The 19,631-nt window shown below is 38.2% G+C and overlaps 1 long non-coding RNA gene across 1 annotated transcript in view; it reads left to right on the top strand.

Moving 5' to 3' along the window:
- The window catches only part of LOC101927078 (uncharacterized), a 325,996-nt gene that overhangs the window by 89,408 nt on the left and 216,957 nt on the right, over positions 1–19,631 (top strand). Inside the window, exons 2-3 of the long non-coding RNA NR_130785.1 lie at positions 15,775–15,898; positions 16,259–16,397. This is a non-coding gene — a long non-coding RNA (uncharacterized LOC101927078). The remainder of the gene's footprint in view (positions 1–15,774; positions 15,899–16,258; positions 16,398–19,631) is intronic.

The raw sequence follows: 19,631 nt of genomic DNA, 5'->3' as shown, positions 1-19,631 counted from the left end.
ACATGGCCTCTCTGGACTTCAGCTTCTGTGTCTGTCAAAATAAATAATGGGCTAGATACTCTCTAGCATATCTGCCATTTCTAAAATTCTATGCTATGTCTTTTTAGTGACTTCTTTAAGACCCAACTCAAAGAAGTAATTACAACTGGGGATCTCAGACCCAGGAGATGGAAAAAGCATATGCCCATGATGAAAGTTAGTTGGGAAATACTTGGGGCAATGAAGAAATTATTTTTTTCTCTAAAAATTGGTCACCATCATGCCTGCAGTTATACCAGCCCTTACTTTGTTGCTAACAATTGATTACCTGCACAATTCTTATTTTGGGTGAGTCTGGAAAATTTCAAAATTGAACTTTTCAGCAATATGAAATATCTTGGAACTAAAGTATAGAGAGGACCCAATGTGTTTGGAATCCAACCCCACAGTTTGAATTTTTCAAATTTCTACCAAATGGAAAAAAACAACATATCTCAGTGTACACACAGCTCTAGTTAACAACTGAATGCACTGTTTTCATAGGTAAGGTGTTAGTATCTAGGAACAAATACACTCAGGAATTTCATCTTTCTGCAGCTATGTTTGGCAGTGTTAAAAGTTGAATCTGTGTTCTATTGAAATTTTACTTCTGTGTGAATAAATGGATCAGGTATCAAGCATGATGTTAGAATCTGATCGTTGGTGTCAAGGCTCATACACGTTTAAGTACCTTCACCATATCAACCTGAAATGTTACCAGTTCTCTTGTTAAGGAAATATTCCTTCAGAGAAAGGTGACCTGAAGGGTCAGGTTAAAATTTAGAGTCAAGAGTGAGGGTAGAGGTGTGCTATGTTATGTCCAAATATACTAAGAAGTGTGGAGAGAGAGATGAGTTTGTGATGATGACAAGAGTTAGGGTAGATGATGCCTCAGTGCACAACGAACAACAATGAGAAACAATGTTTAAGGAACAAACTGTGAAGTCTGGTTGTTCCATACTTTTTGACATAATGATACTTGGATTGCCTCTCAGTTTATATGTGCTTTGAACTCTCTTCTCTTCCTCCTCCCCTTAGTGCAGATTCATAGGTGAATTTTTCAGAAAGCCTTTGAAAAAATAAATAAAAATACTCTTTGGAGTATGGAAAAATTCAAGATTTCCAGTTCTATTTTATATTTTAAAAGATAAATTAAATGTCAGCAAGGCTGTAATCTAACCCAGAGATGAGACCACCTTCTGAAGTATGTAGAAAGGTGGAGCTGGAATCAGAGTACCTGAGAAAATCCCACACAGCCCCAGAGAGTTAGCACGTTTGCTTTATGTCTAGATCCTCTCGCCAAAACCCTGCTGCTTTACTGCTCAACTAAAAATAACGATCTTCTGTCCTACTTTTTTTGTTATTAATATTTCTTAATTTGTAAGGACTTTTCTCATTTCATGGCATCTTCTAACAGCTTTAATATCCTGTTACTGTGTATCTAAGTGAATTATAGTGAAAGCTACCTATTCTAATGGCTGGCAGTCCCGTAGAAATCAGTATTTTGAGTGTTCATCTTACATAAACTTTGGTCTATTAACTCAGATTCACTGGGGAAAGAAAGGATTTAGACCATGATGGATTTGGTGGTGTAAAATTTAGAGGAAGAAGGATTTTTTTTTTTTTTTTTATGTACTTTAAGTTCTGGGATACATGTGCAGAATGTGCAGGTTTGTTACGTAGGTATACACGTGCCATGGTGGTTTGCTGCACCCATCAACCTGTCACCTACATTAGGTATTTCTCCTAATCCTGTCCCTCCCGTTGGCCTCTAATCCCCAACAGGCCCCAGTGTGTGATGTTCCCCTCCCTGTGTCCATGTGTTCTCATTGTTCAACTCCCGCTTATGAGTGAGAACATATGATGTTTGGTTTTCTGTTCCTGTGTTAGTTTGCTGAGAATGATGGTTTCCAGTTTCATCCGTGTCCCTGCAAAGGTACATGAACTCATCTTTATTTATGGCTGCATAGTATTTATGGCTGCATAGTATATGAGCCACATTTTCTTAATCCAGTCTATCATTGATGAGCATTTGGGTTGGTTCCAAGTCTTTGCTATTGTAAATAGTGCCGCAGTAAATATACGTGTGCATGTGTCTTTATGGTAGAATGATTTCTAATCCTTTGGGCATATACCCAGTAATGGGATTGCTGGGTCAAATGGTATCTCTAGTTCTAGATCCTTGAGGAATCGCCACACTGTCTTCCACAATGGTTGAACTAATTTACACTCCCACCACAGTGTAAAAGCGTTTCTATTTCTCTGCATCCTTTCCAGCATCTGTTGTTTCCTGGCTTTTTAATGATTGCTATTCTAACTGGCATGAGATGGTATCTCATTGTGGTATTGATTTGCATTTCCCTAACTATCAGTGATGATGAGCTTTTTTTCATACGTTTGTTGGCCGCATAAATGTCTTCTCTGAGAAGTGGCTGTTCATATCTTTAGCCTACTTTTTGATTGGGGTTGTTTGTTTTTGCCATTCCAAATATTCCGCCAGGCTCCATCAGGGAATTCTGGATGATGTAGAACATTCAGGAAGTGAATTGAGGCTACCAGGAATCTTCCTCCAAGTTAATCTTCTAAGTATGGCCACAGAAATATTTCCCATCCCCCATGGTCTTCATACAATGTGACTCTAGCATTCCTCCCATCCAGAGACAGAGTCTGTTCCCTCTCCTTGAGTCTGGGCAGATTTGCGACTTCAGCAGACTTTATGTTACGTGACTCCCAAGGTTAGGCTATAAAAGGTGATGCAATTTCCATCTACTTTCATTAGAACATATAACAGAAAATAAAACTTTGCTATCCTTGATACATAAAGAAGTCTTACAAAACCAAAAGGAAAAAAATCTATGAAAAATAAGAAAAGGATAGTTTTGGAGGCCCAGACCACCATGTGAAAAGGGGGAGGCCTCCATGCCAGGCCACATGGAAAGGATACAGGAGGGTGTTTGGGATGAGCTCCCAGCCAGCGGTGGCAACCACCACTCCTGTGAGTGGTGACACCTCCAGGTGATACCTGCCCCAGTTGCTGAGTCACCTCCATCTTTGGAGTCTTGCAGGAAGCTCCAGAAATTGTGGAGCAGAAACATGCTATTTCCCTGTGCTTTTTCAGAATTCTTGACCCATATAATCTGTTAGCAGAATACAGTTGTTATTTTAGGTTGTCAAATTTCGGGGTAATTTGTTATGCATTGATAACTGAAAAAAAAAATCAACATTCTGATTTTCAATTTTTCTTACCTTTCCCAGTCTGAGAATAAAAATCTATCATTTTAACTTGTATTTGATAATTAGTAAGGCTAAACCCTTTTTATGTGACTATTAACCAATTATATGTATTTTAGCTCATCAGTATCCTTTTCTATTTTTAATAGACATTTTCCTTTTGGTTTTATAAGAATTCTTTATATATCAAGGATAATAACTTTATTTCTGTTATATGTTCCAAATATTTTGTTGTTGTCTTTTGTTGTTTATGGTATTATTTACTTATGCTATTTTTAAAAGTCAGAACTTGAATGGTTTCTAGTTGGTCTTTATTGGGCACTTATGACCTCTGTGTAATTCTCTCTCATCCCAAGACAATTAGATTTATTCCTTGCTTCTGTATTTGAAAGTATAGTATTCCCTTAGCTAAGAACATGGTCTCCTATAGCTTGTAGTTTTTCTTAAAACTTTATCATATTTAGGCTAAATGTATTTTCAAAATGTATATTTTAGTAAAGCTTACATTTATTTGTAATATTTAGCCTCAACATAAAAGTGATTAAGTCTAATGTTAAGAGTTACTATATAGCGAAAAAGGCTCAATTATAAATAGATGTAAGGCACAGACCAATAGGAGTGATGTGGGGATGAAAGACCTTGCAGATCAAGGTGAAAATAATTTTTAAAAATTTAGAAACAAGGTATGAGGAAATTATTAGCAAGAAAACAATAGTTAGGAAAATATGTTCTAGAAAAAATACAGGTGAGGCATGGCTTATGTATTGCTTTTAAATGATGAGATGAGGGAAAATCTAGGTGCAAGGTGAATAAAATAAATATAGTAGGAAAGCAAGAAAGGCCAAATATAAAAGGCTATCTGTGTGTATGTTAACAGCTAACATCTTAATAAAGCCATTGCATAATTACAGCCGTTGTCAGAATGAAAAAGTGTACCAACTTTTGATACAAACTATCTTGTAAGTCTGAATTGTCAGAGGTCAAGTCATAAATGAACCATGGGTATTATCCAGTAAAGGATACATAATGAAAAGCATAATAGTTTAGGTATGTAGAATGTCACATGTAGTTCAGTTCTGGTTTTGAAATTTGGGAGTATACTTTGCAGTAAATATTTGTAGTTGAAAATTAGCAGAAAGCCATCCTAAATATCCCATGAGTTTATATTTATTTAAATCATGTTCATATGGATCTTTACATTTTATAGAAAATCAGTTATAATTTAGAAGAAAATACAACATATTCCCTGCCTTTAGATAATATGACAGGAAACCTAGATGTTAGACCTTCAGGATGTGACAATTAAAGATCCACCGATGCACCTACTGTCAGTTTATCCTGACTGCAAACCAAGTTCTGAGAGGGACCAGCTATGTCAACAAGGCCGTAAAGTGACAGCAAGTATCACACTGAGATAACAAGCAGCGGCTGCATCGACGGCTATCAGAGAGAGGAAATCCATCCAAAGTAAAGGGGTGATCAGTTAGCACTGTATATTTTACTTTCATTATTAGGAAGAAATGTGATTGACAGTGAACATTTATATAATTTTAAAATCCCTTTACACATAATGTAACACTTGTTGATTTAAGAATGTTTTCAAAAACGCTCAAGTAGAAAAATTTCTGTTGCATCTAAGGACTTTAAAACATGTAATATTCTAAGAAACAATGGCCAGAGAATTCTCAATGCTTCACTTTGGATAAAGAAGCTACCTCTATCAGGTGTAATTCCTTCTAAATAATTTTCTCAACCCTGTTACTGGCTCCTAGTGGGTGTGAAGTGGTATTTCATTGCATATTGCTTTGCAGTTCCCTGATGGCTAATGATGTCAGCATCTTTTCATATGCTTATTGGCCATTCATATATTTTCTTTGGAGAAATGTCTGTTCAGATCATTGCTGCATTAAAAAAATCTAGATTATTTGTCTTTTTATTATTGAGTTGTGAGGGTTCTTTGTATATTCTAGATACAAGTCCCCTGTCAGATACATGATTTCCAAACATTTTCTCCTATTCTGTCTTTTTACTTTCTTAATGGTATCTTCTGAAGCACAAACATTTCTAATTTGATGAAGCATTATTTATCTTTTTCCTTGTTTTTGCTTGTGCTTTTGGTTTTATATCTAAGAAGGCTTAACTCACCCAAGATTAGAAGATTTAGTCCTATAATTTTTTTACAACCTGATAGTAAAGTTATTGGGAAATAGCTAACTTTCACACACCTCAGCCTTCTGAGAAGTTACCATTATATGCCAAAAATAATCTAAAAGTTACGATTGATCAAATTTTTTAAGGTCATTGAAACACGTATTTGAACCATGGGATAGAAGCTTAACAAATAGGATAAATTGAAACGGGATCCAGATGAAATCAACGATATGATTTTAAAAGGAAATGAAAATTCAGAACTTCCGGATTACTTCGTCGGTTGCCACCAAGTCACTAAGTAGTACTCATAGTAATTACATAGACCACATTGCTGTATTCCCTGCACAAACTCCCACAGTCCCTTCTACATATGCAGATGAGCAAAAACTGCAAGAAATAAAATGCCAATCACAGCCTAAGGCTTAACCTAAAAAGGTCCTAGGTAACCCAGCCTTCTCATTAATCAAAAGTTACTTGGCTTGAACAAATCACAACAGAAGTTTTCAAGTGAGTCCAACGAGTCAAAGATTTTTTTGTTTTATGTAAGCATAAGAGGTATATGAGATGAAGTTACTCCCTAAATAATTGATTAAAATCAGTGCATTCTTGGGGCGACATCCTAATTTCCCTGATCTTCATCCTCCTCCAGGTGTCATTTATAGGAGAGTTGTTATGAATATTAACAACTATTAAATATGTTAAGTGTGCTGAGCACCACAGAATGAACACAGTAGAGGCCATACCAGTATCCTCAACAAGTAGAAGCCCTAGAACATTCTCTTCCTACAGCCTTCTCTAGCTGCCCTTGTGAGCACACTACAGGGCTCCCTACCAAGCTAGACTGAGGTCATCCACTCATTTGCCACATTAGAGACTATCTAGCTGGATCCTCCAATTCTATAGATGAGAAGATTAAAAATCCAGTGAGTCTGAGAAGGACAACACAGGCATAGAACAATATCCTCTAACACTATTGCCCAGTAGCTGATTCCCCAACTTTTAAGTCAGTTGTTTTCATAATTCCCAAGTGTCAATCTGGCTAAGAGTATCCAAAGCAGGTAGATTGAAGGGGGGATAGACTGACCACTGATACAGGATTTAAAATGTCAAGAAAAGAGCAAGATGCACTAGAGGTTCTCACCAAACCAATTAGGCAAGAAAATGAAATTAAAGTCATCCGTATTTGAAAAAATAAACTATATCTATTTGCAGATGACATGAATTTACATATAAAAAATCCTAAGGAAACTACTAAAAATTATTAGAACCAATAAAAAAGCTCAGTACATTCGCAGAGTACAAGATCAATATACAAATAACAATTGTATTTCTAGACACTAGCAATGAATAACTCAAAATTAACAATGTTCAATTTGCAAATAGCATCAAAAAGAATTAAATACACAGAAGTAAATTTAACACAAGAAATGTAAAACTTATACTCTGAAATACAAAAAAAAATTGTTGAAAGAAATTAAAGAACAACTAAACAAATGGAAAAATATGGGTTGGAAGACTTTCATTCATGGGTTGGAAGACTTAATGTTAACATGTCAATACTCCTTGAATTGATTTATCTACAGCCTCAGTGCCATCCTTACCAAAATCCCAGTTTGGCCTTTATTCAGAAATTGACATGCTGAACCTAAAATTCACATAGAAATTCAAAGGACCCAGGATAGCCAAAACAATCTTTTTTTGAAAATTTATTATTACTATTATTCTTTAAGTTTTAGGGCACATGTGCACAATGTGAAGGTTAGTTACATATGTATACATGTGCCATTCTGGTGCGCTGCACCCACTAACTCGTCATCTAGCATTAGGTATATCTCCCAATGCTATCCCTCCCCCCTCCCCCAACCCCGCAACAGTCCCCAGAGTGTGATGTTCCCCTTCCTGTGTCCGTGTGTTCTCATTGTTCAATTCCCACCTATGAGTGAGAATATGCGGTGTTTGGTTTTTTGTTCTTGCGATAGTTTACTGAGAACGATGATTTCCAATTTCATCCATGTCCCTACAAAGGAAGTGAACTCATCATTTTTTATGGCTGCATGGTATTCCATGGTGTATATGTGCCACATTTTCTTAATCCAGTCTATCATTGTTGGACATTTGGGTTGGTTCCAAGTCTTTGCTATTGTGAATAATGCTGCAATAAACATACGTGTGCATGTGTCTTTATAGCAGCATGATTTATAGTCCTTTGGGTATATACCCAGTAATGGGATGGCTGGGTCAAATGGTATTTCTAGTTCTAGATCCCTGAGGAATGGCCACACTAACTTCCACAATGGTTGAACTAGTTTACAGTCCCACCAACAGTGTAAAAGTGTTCCTATTTCTCCACATCCTCTCCAGCACCTGTTGCTTCCTGACTTTTTAATGATTGCCATTCTAACTGGTGTGAGATGGTATCTCATTGTGGTTTTGATTTGCATTTCTCTGATGGCCAGTGATTGTGAGCATTTTTTCATGTGTCTTTTGGCTGTATAAATGTCTTCTTTTGAAAAGTGTCTGTTCATGTCCTTTGCCCACTTGTTGATGGGGTTGTTTGTTTTTTTCTTGTAAATTTGTTGGAGTTCATTGTAGATTCTGGATATTAGCCCTTTGTCAGATGAGTAGGTTGCGAAAATTTTCTCCTGTTTTGTAGGTTGCCTGTTCACTCTGATAGTAGTTTCTTTTGCTGTGCAGAAGCTCCTTAGTTTAATTAGATCCCATTTGTCAATTTTGGCTTTTGTTTGCATTGCTTTTGGTGTTTTAGACATGATGTCCTTGCCCATGCCTATGTCCTGAATGGTAATGCCTAGGTTTTCTTCTAGGGTTTTTATGGTTTTAGGTCTAACCTTTAAGTCTTTAATCCATCTTGAATTGATTTTTGCATAAGGTGTAAGGAAGGGATCCAGTTTCAGCTTTCTACATATGGCTAGCCAGTTTTCCCAGCACCATTTCTTAAATAGGGAATCCTTTCCCCATTGCTTGTTTTTCTCAGGTTTGTGAAAGATCAGATAGTTGTAGATATGCGGTGTTATTTCTGAGGGCTCTGTTCTGTTCCATTGATCTATATCTCTGTTTTGGTACCAGTACCATGCTGTTTTGGTTACTGTAGCCTTGTAGTATAGTTTGAAGTCAGGTAGTGTGATGCCTCCAGCTTTGTTCTTTTGGCTTAGGATTGACTTGGCGATGCGGGCTCTTTTTTGGTTCCATATGAACTTTAAAGTAGTTTTTTCCAATTCTGTGAAGAAAGTCATTGGTAGCTTGATGGGGATGGCATTGAATCTGTAAATTACCTTGGGCAGTATGGCCATTTTCACGATATTGATTCTTCCTACCCATGAGCATGGACTGTTCTTCCATTTGTTTGTATCCTCTTTTATTTCCTTGAGCAGTGGTTTGTAGTTCTCCTTGAAGAGGTCCTTCACATACCTTGTAAGTTGGATTCCTAGGTATTTTATTCTCTTTGAAGCAATTATGAATGGGAGTTACCTCATGATTTGGCTCTCTGTTTGTCTGTTATTGGTGTATAAGAATGCTTGTGATTTTTGTACATTGATTTTGTATCCTGAGACTTTGCTGAAGTTGCTTATCAGCTTAAGGAGATTTTGGGCTGAGACAATGGGGTTTTCTAGGTATACAATCATGTCGTCTGCAAACAGGGACAATTTGACTTCCTCTTTTCCTAATTGAATACCCTTTATTTCCTTCTCCTGCCTAATTGCCCTGGCCAGAACTTACAACACTATGTTGAATAGGAGTGGTGAGAGAGGGCATTCCTGTCTTGTGCCAGTTTTCAAAGGGAATGCTTCCAGTTTTTGCCCATTCAGTATGATATTGGCTGTGGGTTTGTCATAGATAGCTCTTATTATTTTGAGATACATCCCATCAATACCTAATTTATTGAGCATTTTTAGCATGAAGAGTTGTTGAATTTTGTCAAAGGACTTTTCTGCATCTATTGAGATAATCATGTGGTTTTTGTCTTTGGTTCTGTTTATATGCTGGATTACATTTATTGATTTGCGTATATTGAACCAGCCTTGCATCCCAGGGATGAAGCCCACTTGATCATGGTGGATAAGCTTTTTGATGTGCTGCTGGATTCGGTTTGCCAGTATTTTATTGAGGATTTTTGCATCAATGTTCATCAAGGATATTGGTCTAAAATTCTCTTTTTTGGTTGTGTCTCTGCCTGGCTTTGGTATCAGGATGATGCTGGCCTCATAAAATGAGTTAGGGAGGATTCCTTCTTTTTCTAGTGATTGGAATAGTTTCAGAAGGAATGGTACCAGTTCCTCCTTGTACCTCTAGTAGAATTTGGCCGTGAATCTATCTGGTCCTGGACTCTTTTTGGTTGGTAAGCTATTGATTATTGCCACAATTTCAGATCCTGTTATTGGTCTATTAAGAGATTCAACTTCTTCCTAGTTTAGTCTTGGGAGAGTGTATGTGTCAAGGAATTTATCCATTTCTTCTAGATTTTCTAGTTTATTTGCGTAGAGGTGTTTGTAGTATTCTCTGACGGTAGTTTGTATTTCTGTGGGATTGGTGGTGATATCCCCTTTATCATTTTTTATTGCATCTATTTGATTCTTCTCTGTTTTTTTCTTTATTAGTCTTTGTAGCGGTCTATCAATTTTCTTGATCGTTTGAAAAAACCAGCACCTGGATTCATTAATTTTCTGAAGGGTTTTTTGTATCTCTATTTCCTTCAGTTCTGCTCTGATTTTAGTTATTTCTTGCCTTCTGCTAGCTTTTGAATGTGTTTGCTCTTGCTTTTCTAGTTCTTTTAATTGTGATGTTAGGGTGTCAATTTTGAATCTTTCCTGCTTTCTCTTGTGGGAATTTAGTGCTATAAATTTCCCTCTACACACTGCTTTGAATCCATCCCAGGGATTTTGGTATGTTGTGTCTTTGTTCTTGTTGGTTTCAAAGAACATCTTTATTTCTGCCTTCATTTCGTTATGTACCCAGTAGTCATTCAGGAGCAGGTTGTTCAGTTTCCATGTAGTTGAGCGGTTTTGAGTGAGTTTCTTAATCCTGAGTTCTAGTTTGATTGCACTGTGGTCTGAGAGATAGTTTGTTATAATTTCTGTTCTTTTACATTTGCTGAGGAGAGCTTTACTTCCAAGTGTGTGGTCAATTTTGGAATAGGTATGGTGTGGTGCTGAAAAAAAATGTATATTCTGTTGATTTGGGGTGGAGAGTTCTGTAGATGTCTATTAGGTCTGCTTGGTGCAGAGCTGAGTTCAATTCCTGGGTATCCTTGTTGACTTTCTGTCTCGTTGATCTGTCTAATTTTGACAGTGGGGCGTTAAAGTCTCCCATTATTATTGTGTGGGAGTCTAAGTCTCTTTGTAGGTCGCTCAGGACTTGCTTTATGAATCTGGGTGCTCCTGTATTGGGTGCATATATATTTAGGATAGTTAGCTCTTCTTGTTGAATTGATCCCTTTACCATTATGTAATGGCCTTCTTTGTCTCTTTTGATCTTTGTTGGTTTAAAGTCTGTTTTATCAGAGACTAGGATTGCAACCCCTGCCTTTTTTTGTTTTCCATTGGCTTGGTAGATCTTCCTCCATCCTTTTATTTGGAGCCTATGTGTGTCTCTGCCCATGAGATAGGTTTCCTGAATACAGCACACTGATGGGTCTTGACTCTTTATCCAATTTGCCAGTCTGTGTCTTTTAATTGGAGCATTTAGTCCATTTACATTTAAAGTTAATATTGTTATGTGTGAATTTGATCCTGTCATTATGATGTTAGCTGGTTATTTTGCTCGTTAGTTGATGCAGTTTCTTCCTTTTCTCGATGGTCTTTACATTTTGGCATGATTTTGCAGCGGCTGGTACTGGTTGTTCCTTTCCATGTTTAGTGCTTCCTTTAGGAGCTGTTTTAGGGCAGGCCTGGTGGTGACAAAATCTCTCAGCATTTGCTTGTCTGTAAAGTATTTCATTTCTTCTTCACTTATGAAGCTTAGTTTGGCTGGATATGAAATTCTGGGTTGAAAATTCTTTTCTTTAAGAATGTTGAATATTGGCCCCCACTCTCTTCTGGCTTGTACAGTTTCTGCCAAGAGATCTGCTGTTAGTCTGATGGGCTTCCCTTTGAGGGTAACCCAACCTTTCTCTCTGGCTGCCCTTAACATTTTTTCCTTCATTTCAACTTTGGTGAATCTGACAATTATGTGTCTTGGAGTTGCTCTTCTCGAGGAGTATCTTTGTGGCGTTCTCTGTATTTCCTGAATCTGAATGTTGGCCTGTCTTGCTAGATTGGGGAAGTTCTCCTGGATGATATCCTGCAGAGTGTTTTCCAACTTGGTTCCATTCTCCCCGTCACTTTCAGGTACGCCAATCAGACGTAGATTTGGTCTTTTCACATAGTCCCATATTTCTTGGAGGCTTTGCTTGTTTCTTTTTATTCTTTTTTCTCTAAACTTCCCTTCTCACTTCATTTCATTCACTTCATCTTCTATCACTGATAGCCTTTCTTCCAGTTGATCGCATCAGCTCCTGAGGCTTCTGCATTTCTCACATAGTTCTCAAGCCTTGGTTTTCAGCTCCATCAGCTCCTTTAAGCACTTCTCTGTATTGGTTATTCTAGTTATACATTCTTCTAAACTTTTTTCAAAGTTTTCAACTTCTTTGACTTTGCTTTGAATTTCCTCCAGTAGCTCGGAGTAATTTGATCATCTGAAGCCTTCTCTCAGCTCGTCAAAGTCATTCTCCATCCAGCTTTGTTCTGTTGCTGGTGAGGAACTGCGTTCCTTTGGAGGAGGAGAGGCCCTCTTACTTTTAGAGTTTCCAGTTTTTCTGCTCTGTTTTTTCCCCATCTTTGTGGTTTTATCTACTTTTGGTCTTTGATGATGGTGACGTACAGATGGGTTTTTGGTGTGGATGTCCTTTCTGTTTGTTAGTTTTCGTTCTAACAGACAGGACCCTCAGCTCCAGGTCTGTTGGAACACCCGGCCGTGTGAGGTGTCAGTCTGCCCCTGCTGGGGGGTGCCTCCCAGTTAGGCTGCTCAGGGGTCAGGGGTCAGGGACCCACTTGAGGAGGCAGTCTGCTGGTTCTCAGATCTCCAGCTGCGTGCTGGGAGAACCACTGCTCTCTTCAAAGCTGTCAGACAGGGACATTTAAGTCTGCAGAGGTTACTGCTGTCTTTTTGTTTGTCTGTGCCCTGCCCCCAGAGGTGGAGCCTACAGAGGCAGGCAGGCCTCCTTGAGCTGTGGTGGGCTCCACCGAGTTGGAGCTTCCCCACTGCTTTGTTTACCTAAGCAAGCCTGGGCAATGGTGGGCACCCCTCCCCCAGCCTGGCTGCTGCCTTGCAGTTTGATCTCAGACTGCTGTGCTAGCAATCAGCAAGACTCCGTGGGCGTAGGACCCTCCGAGCCAGGTGCGGGATATAATCTCCTGGTATGGCATTTTTTAAGCCTGTCAGAAAAGCTCAGTATTCGAGTGGGAGTGACCGGATTTTCCACGTGCCATCTGTCACCCTTTTCTTTGACTAGGAAAGGGAACTCCCTGACCCCTTGTGCTTCCCAAGTGAGGCAATGCCTCGCCCTGCTTTGGCTCGCGCACGGTGCACGCAACACTGACCTGCACCCACTGTCTGGCACTCCCTAGTGAGATGAACCCAGTACCTCAGAGGGAAATGCAAAAATCACCCGTCTTCTGCGTCGCTCACGCTGGGAGCTGTAGACCGGAGCTGTCCCTGTTTGGCCATCTTGGCTCCTCCACCAAAACAGTCTTGAAAATGACAAAGTTGGAGGACTCATACTTCCTGATTTCAAAACGTACTACAAAGCTATAGTAATCAAGACAGTGTGGTATAGGCACAAGGGCAGACATACAGATAGAGGAATAGAATTGAGAGTCCAGAAATGAATCTTCACACTTGTTATAGTTAACTGATTTTTGACAAAGTGCCAGGATATTTGAAAAAAATCTTTTCAACAACTAGTGTTGAGACAACTTCAATATTCACATGCAAAAGAATGAAGTTGGACACCATACATAGAAATTAACTACCTAAATATAAGAGGTAAAACTCTAAAACTCTTAGAATAAAACATAGGTATAAATCTTCATAATCTAGGGTTAGACAGTGACTTCTTATATATGGCATCTAAAGCACGTGCAACGAAATAAAAATATATTATTTTTGGCAGATAATGATAGTCTCCCAGAAGTTTGATAGTCTCCCAATGAAGACAAATTTGAGGTGAGTAAGGGCTAGTTATTTACCAACAACTTGGCTACCAGCTTAGAAAGAAGAAAAATGTCAGATCAAATTATATTACATATAAACACTTATTCAATAAGCATTTACACGCAAGCAGACAAAATATTCCGAACAATATTTTATATACTTGATAATGTTCAAAGTCTCTGTCCTGTAAGGTATTTGACCACCACTATAAAAGTTTCACCAGATGAAGAAGTCATAATATTCTAGAGACAGCAATCTATTTCTCTTGTAGTTAATTTTTAGGAAACAGATTTTTTTTTCAATACCAGTGGCTGCACACCAAACAATTTTGGAATCAAAGTTTGGGTATTCTCCATTCCTAAGGATATAGGTTAGAGAGACACTAGATTCTTATAGTCTATTTTTCACAATTAAGGAGTATCTCAAAAATACATACCCAATCCACAAGTCCTAATATCATTCCTTTCCACTATATAAGTGTAATTTTGAGATTGTTTATGCTAATTAGGAAAACCTCTGCTGTTGACCAAACTATGAATGGAAAGCTGCATGACTTGTTCTTCCTCTAGAACAGGGCCTCTCAGATTAAAGGTAGCTGTCCTTGTAGGAGTGTGCATTTGTGATTAGGGCAACTGTGTGTCCCTGGAGTGTGGCTTTAACTCTCATACATCTTGTATAACACTATCATAATTTAAAAGTGATTTGCAAATATTATAACTGGGTGGGTGGGGAGCTGCAAAAGATTGAAAATGCTGTTCTTCCTTAAACAGTTTATGAAGATGGGAGAAATATATTCAGTTAACATTTATCAGACACTTTCTGTGAATGAACCTGTGTTAGGAATTGGGCATGTGGCGATGAGTAAGATGCTACCTGTACTTTCAAAAACATCACCCTGTAGCACAGGAGCAGACATGTGAGCAAAGAATTACCATACCATAATTCGAAAGTGCAAAGCTAGAAAAAAACTTATGTAGGTAGTTAAAGGAGCCATAAGCATTACAGAAGGAGGTTGGGCCAGAAAAGCCTTTTCAGGAAAGGAGACAATTGATTTGAGTTTTGGGGTCTGGGCAGTAGGAAAGGACAGTCCAGGCAGAGCAGCATCCCAGAGAAAGCAGGAAGACCTGAGGCAGCACAGTGTTTGGGGGACCAATATTAGCACAGGGCTGCTGGTCATGAAGCACTATAACATTTGTGGCTCAAAGCTGGAATAGGGGATAGGTTGTAAATGGCTTTGCAGCTTGCCCTAATCTTCATTAGAAAACTGGAAAAAAATTAGAAAAAAAATAAAAAAAAACTCTCCTATTGTTTCATGTAGGATGATAAGGATGACTTCAGATGTATTGGCTTTTCATATTTAGATGATTTTAGATGTATTGGCTTGCTATTGCATGTTAGAGTTTTCTCTTCTAAAAAGCCAGGATGCAGAAATGATGTCATGTAGAAAGTTCAAGAATCATGGTTTGGATCATCCAGTGGTAAATCTGAGAAGCAGGTGAGATTTGGCTTCCCACCAGTGTTCTCAGTATCTTATTCTATCTTTCTGAGGCTCTGGGTTGGTGGCTTCACTTGTCTGTATCTTTCATGAAAGTTCACATTCCCATTCCCTTAAACTCTCTTTACTGATTTTTATCAACCAGTGTATCAGTATTAATGGTTACCTTTATCACATTGGGGTACAAAACTGAAGAGGTGAACAAAATATTGAACAGAATTCCTGCTAGAGAAAGGTCTGACTTCAGGAGAAATATTTTGATAACCTGCTTGGAGAAAAGGAATATATCCACTAGGGCGTGCTGAAACATGGAATGCTCAGAAGATAGCTATGACTAAGCAAAGAGAAACCACTTTTTTTGTTCTGAAAGAGACAGAAAGAAGTGAAGGTGGTGGGAGGAAAGAACAGGATTGGAGAGAATCTAACAGAAGGCTCTGTGCTCTATGATGTCACCCAAATCTTCACATGAAAGTTGGCTGAACCCCCAAAGTGCTTGGTGAATGGATTGTGTATGGGCGTGAGAGTAAAACTTTACAAGGTCGAGAGTCATACAAAAGCCAAAGGTAGAGGGGAGGAGGTTCAGCCAGTCACCATGGAGCAGATGAGCCCAAAAGGACCCCCAAACACTTTGAGTATTAGCAGAAATCTTTAATAAATTATTACCTTTCTTCCAGCCGCATTAAAGCCAGTCCCAGCCAGGCTTAAGGAGAGCTGGAATGGAGAGGATTCTCATCTAACATCTGGGTTGCAGTTGTATGTTAACATGGACTTCCTAGGAAGTAACATATCAAACAAAAGGTAACTATAGCATAGACAATTTAAGTTTATTGTCTAAGGAGATGTGTTGGGGGAGGGAAGCAACCGGGCCTTTCAAAACTCTTCAGTTCAAAATGTGGCCTGAACACTTCCATACATTAAATCCAACCCAAAGCAAAATACTTGAACTGCTCCTTCAGGTTAACTTTGCTCCTGGGGGATTTTGTGTCTTTTGGTAATATTATCTCTATACTTTACAAGAAACCTGCTGAGACAGCCTCTTCCTGGGTTGCCTCAAATGGTGTGACCTTGAACCTCTGCCTTCCCAGGACAGATACTTCAGAAGTCAGAGGAAAACTATCTGATCAGGTATCCCCTTCTCCCCCCTCTCTTGTGCTGCAGGGAAAGTGATCAACCAGCAGCAGGTACCAGCCACAGTTAACTGCACCTGCTAGGAGCTCTGAAAGACTTTTTTTTTTTTTAAACGAATAAAGAAATTCTCATTTCACTCTCCTCCACACTGGACTCGCTGAAGAAAGAGGTAGGGAAGTGGATACGCAATTCTTCTGGATTCTCTTTGTTATACCCAACTGCTTTGAAATGTTGAATTTGACTAGAGAGTAAAAGAAGAAAAAGAACAGACTCTCAGGTTCTGAGATATATATAAAATATACTTCCGTTCTTGCTTTCTGGCTGGGGAATCCTGCTGGCTGACTTATAATTTGCAGAAGAGATTTCTTTTAGGCTTTTCTTATGTGACTTCCCAGGCTTTCTTGTACTTATATATGATATGTTAACTAACATCATGGCAAGCAGAAGAGTTTAAATTCCAATTCCATGGCAGTAAAGGAGTATAAGAATCATTATTATAAGAATGATAGTTGTTATAAACATAGTTCATAAACTAGCATTTTTTAACATTTTACCTGAATACTATGAGTAAGCAATCATTAATCAAGCTTTGGCAAGTCTGTCAAAAGCATTTGCATTGAAATTTTATCTTCATATGAGATGTGGCCTATGCAATAATGGTTAGGAACCAAGACAATAAATTGCCAGAATTAGCAACATAGTAAGTGCTCACTATTATGCCTAGACTTTTTCATTATGAAATAATACAGGATATTGGATTCGATGTTCACAGAGTTTTCATTTCAGTTGTGGAGAAGATGTGAAGTGTAAACCAAATAATGTAGTACCTAATCTGAAAGGGATTCTGTTACAGAAGCATCGGCAAGGCTGGGATTACCCGGAAAAGAGAGGATTAATCTGATGTAAAGGATTTGGAGAGGATGTTTATTTCAAACATTTACTTTATTTGGTTGTTTTTCCCCCTGTACACTTGTGTGAGTTACCACACCATAGTTCTCAGCTTTGAAGACTGCTCTGAGTTTTTGTCTAAGGGAAGATTCATATCAGCAGCTCACAGGGGTTCATCTGGCCTTGGAGTCATTCAGGAGTAATTTTCTCAATTAGCAACCCTGGCAGTTAATTGGTTATTTGTTGGAGTCTGAGAAAGGAAATCTGAACTCTAGCAATTTAACTTCTTAGGAAGTCAAATAAATCATATATATTTAACTTTAATAGCATTCATATTGCTATATCATGAATTTACTTAAGTAATTGAAGAACCATGTGGATGCTAAATAACAGGACTGCATGCCATTTCTTTAATTAAAAATACTGCTTCTACAAATGCTGCTAACAAATACTGCATTCAGTTATAATGGTAAATGTACTAAAATTGAATGACTATCTGTTGATTAGACTACTCCTAAATAATTCTTATTAAATTTAATTCAATCAGTGGGCAGCCTTTAAAATCCAAGTGCTTTTGCTTTGAAAAGACGTCATTGCCAAATATGAACATATATTATGATGTGGTACGGTCTTACACAATAAAAATCTCATTAAGATCAACAACATTAAATTTGGCCCACAGTATCTATCTTTACCTTTCCATTACAGTCTAACTATTCTTAGTTGAATTTCTCTTTTACTGAACTAAAGGATTATGAAGAAGTTTCCGAAGTGATTTCAGGAGGTGTGGATTACATGATAATATCTGCCTCTGACAAGGTAGTTTGGGACTTTGCATGGAACATTTTCTCTAAGTCCCACCTAAGTCACCTATAAAATTCAGTCCTTCAGTCAGTGAGCTGGGGATATGATAGTGAAAATGAAACACATGGTCTCTGTTTTCAAGGAAACAATATTGCTAGAGAGAGACAGACAAGTAAATGAGCAAGAAGGTATCAGATGGTAATGAGTGACATGAAAAACATAAGAAAGAATACTGCACTGGATAGTGCAGAGGGCACTTTATATCAGGTGAACAGGGAAGGCTTCTGTGGCACAGTGACACTTGAGCTGAGAGCCAAATGACAGGAGGAGCCAGCCTGCGAAGAGCTGGGGGAGAGGCATTACAAACAACAAGTGAGAAGGCCTTAGGGCCAGAGCAAACAAGGCTTGTTCAGGAACAGAAAGGAGAGGTTAGTGCAGATGGTGCATAGTGAGGAAGGGAGCGAAAATGGGAGAAGACTCAGAAAAAGGAGAGAGGGCAGTGGTTGCCTCTTTAGGACCTTGAAGGTAATGATAGGGGTTTGCATTTGATTCTAAGTGCAATGGGAAGCCATTGGAAGGTTTTGAATGGATGAACATTAGCTGATTCTATTTAACAAAGAGTCTGTAAAGGAGACAGAATGGAGGCAGGGCCACTACTGAGGGGACTTGCACCCTGATGCTAGGGGAAAGGGATAGAGTTGAACTCTGAGAAAATACAGATTCTATCCCACCCAAAATGTTTAAATCCACTTGCATAGCATTACAAATGCTCAGGGGATTGTCATACATCTTGAAGTCTATCCATGGATTATCTGCAGCTCAGAGTGAACTCTCTATAAATTCCTTCACCTTTGATGCTATGTTTAAATGTTTTCTGAAAGGAATCTATTTACATTTTCTTTGCATATCTAGATTTCCATGGAAATCGAAGAAAAATGAACGAAAAGTTTGCTGAAAGTTCCTTTTGGTCTGTTACTTGATTCTTCTGTTAATACATAGACCACTACTTATTTCTTGTTTGTGATATTATGCTAACATTATTTGGAGGGCTTATAGCACTTTATCAACAATTTCATTATTTTTGATATGCAAACATCTTGCTATCTGTTTTGATAATTCTTTCTTTGAAATAGAAAATAGCAAAAAGATAAAGACTTCAGGCTTTTATAAGGAATTATATATTATAATATATGTAATTGTTATTATATATACTATATTTTATTACTCTCCCTTTAAATACCCTAAATAAGAGGAATAACAAATAGAAAAGATGACCCTAAGGTGAAGGTTGCAGTGAGCCAAGATGGCGCCACTTCATTCCAGCCTGGGTGACAGAGCAAGGCTCTGTCTCAAAAAAAAAAAAAGAAAAAAAAAAGCTAACCCTAAAAATTAAAATAACAAAAAATAGAGAAAAAATCCACCTCAATAGAAAAGTAAAGTGAAAAGCACAGTCACAAACCCAAAACAAAAACTGTAAAAATTATCTCTCAAACAGAGTGAAACATGAACTCAGGGAAAGGTTAGCAGGGCAATACTACATAGCTCCTCTAACACTGGGGCCGGGTGACCAGGACATGCTCACAGGGCCAGAATTTAAGGCAATTTGGAATAGGGAGTGGCAAGTAAATGGTAAGCCCATCTAAAGAGGACAGCCATAGCTCACATCCAGGTAATTTTTGCCATGCAGAAAAATTGCCACTGAGGATTGCCA

The sequence above is a fragment of the Homo sapiens genome, chromosome 5 (assembly GCF_000001405.40).
Source record: "Homo sapiens chromosome 5, GRCh38.p14 Primary Assembly".
In the NCBI taxonomy this organism is placed as follows: domain Eukaryota; kingdom Metazoa; phylum Chordata; class Mammalia; order Primates; family Hominidae; genus Homo; species Homo sapiens.
Note: the sequence above shows the minus strand (reverse complement) of the source record. Positions and strands in the feature narration are given on the sequence as shown.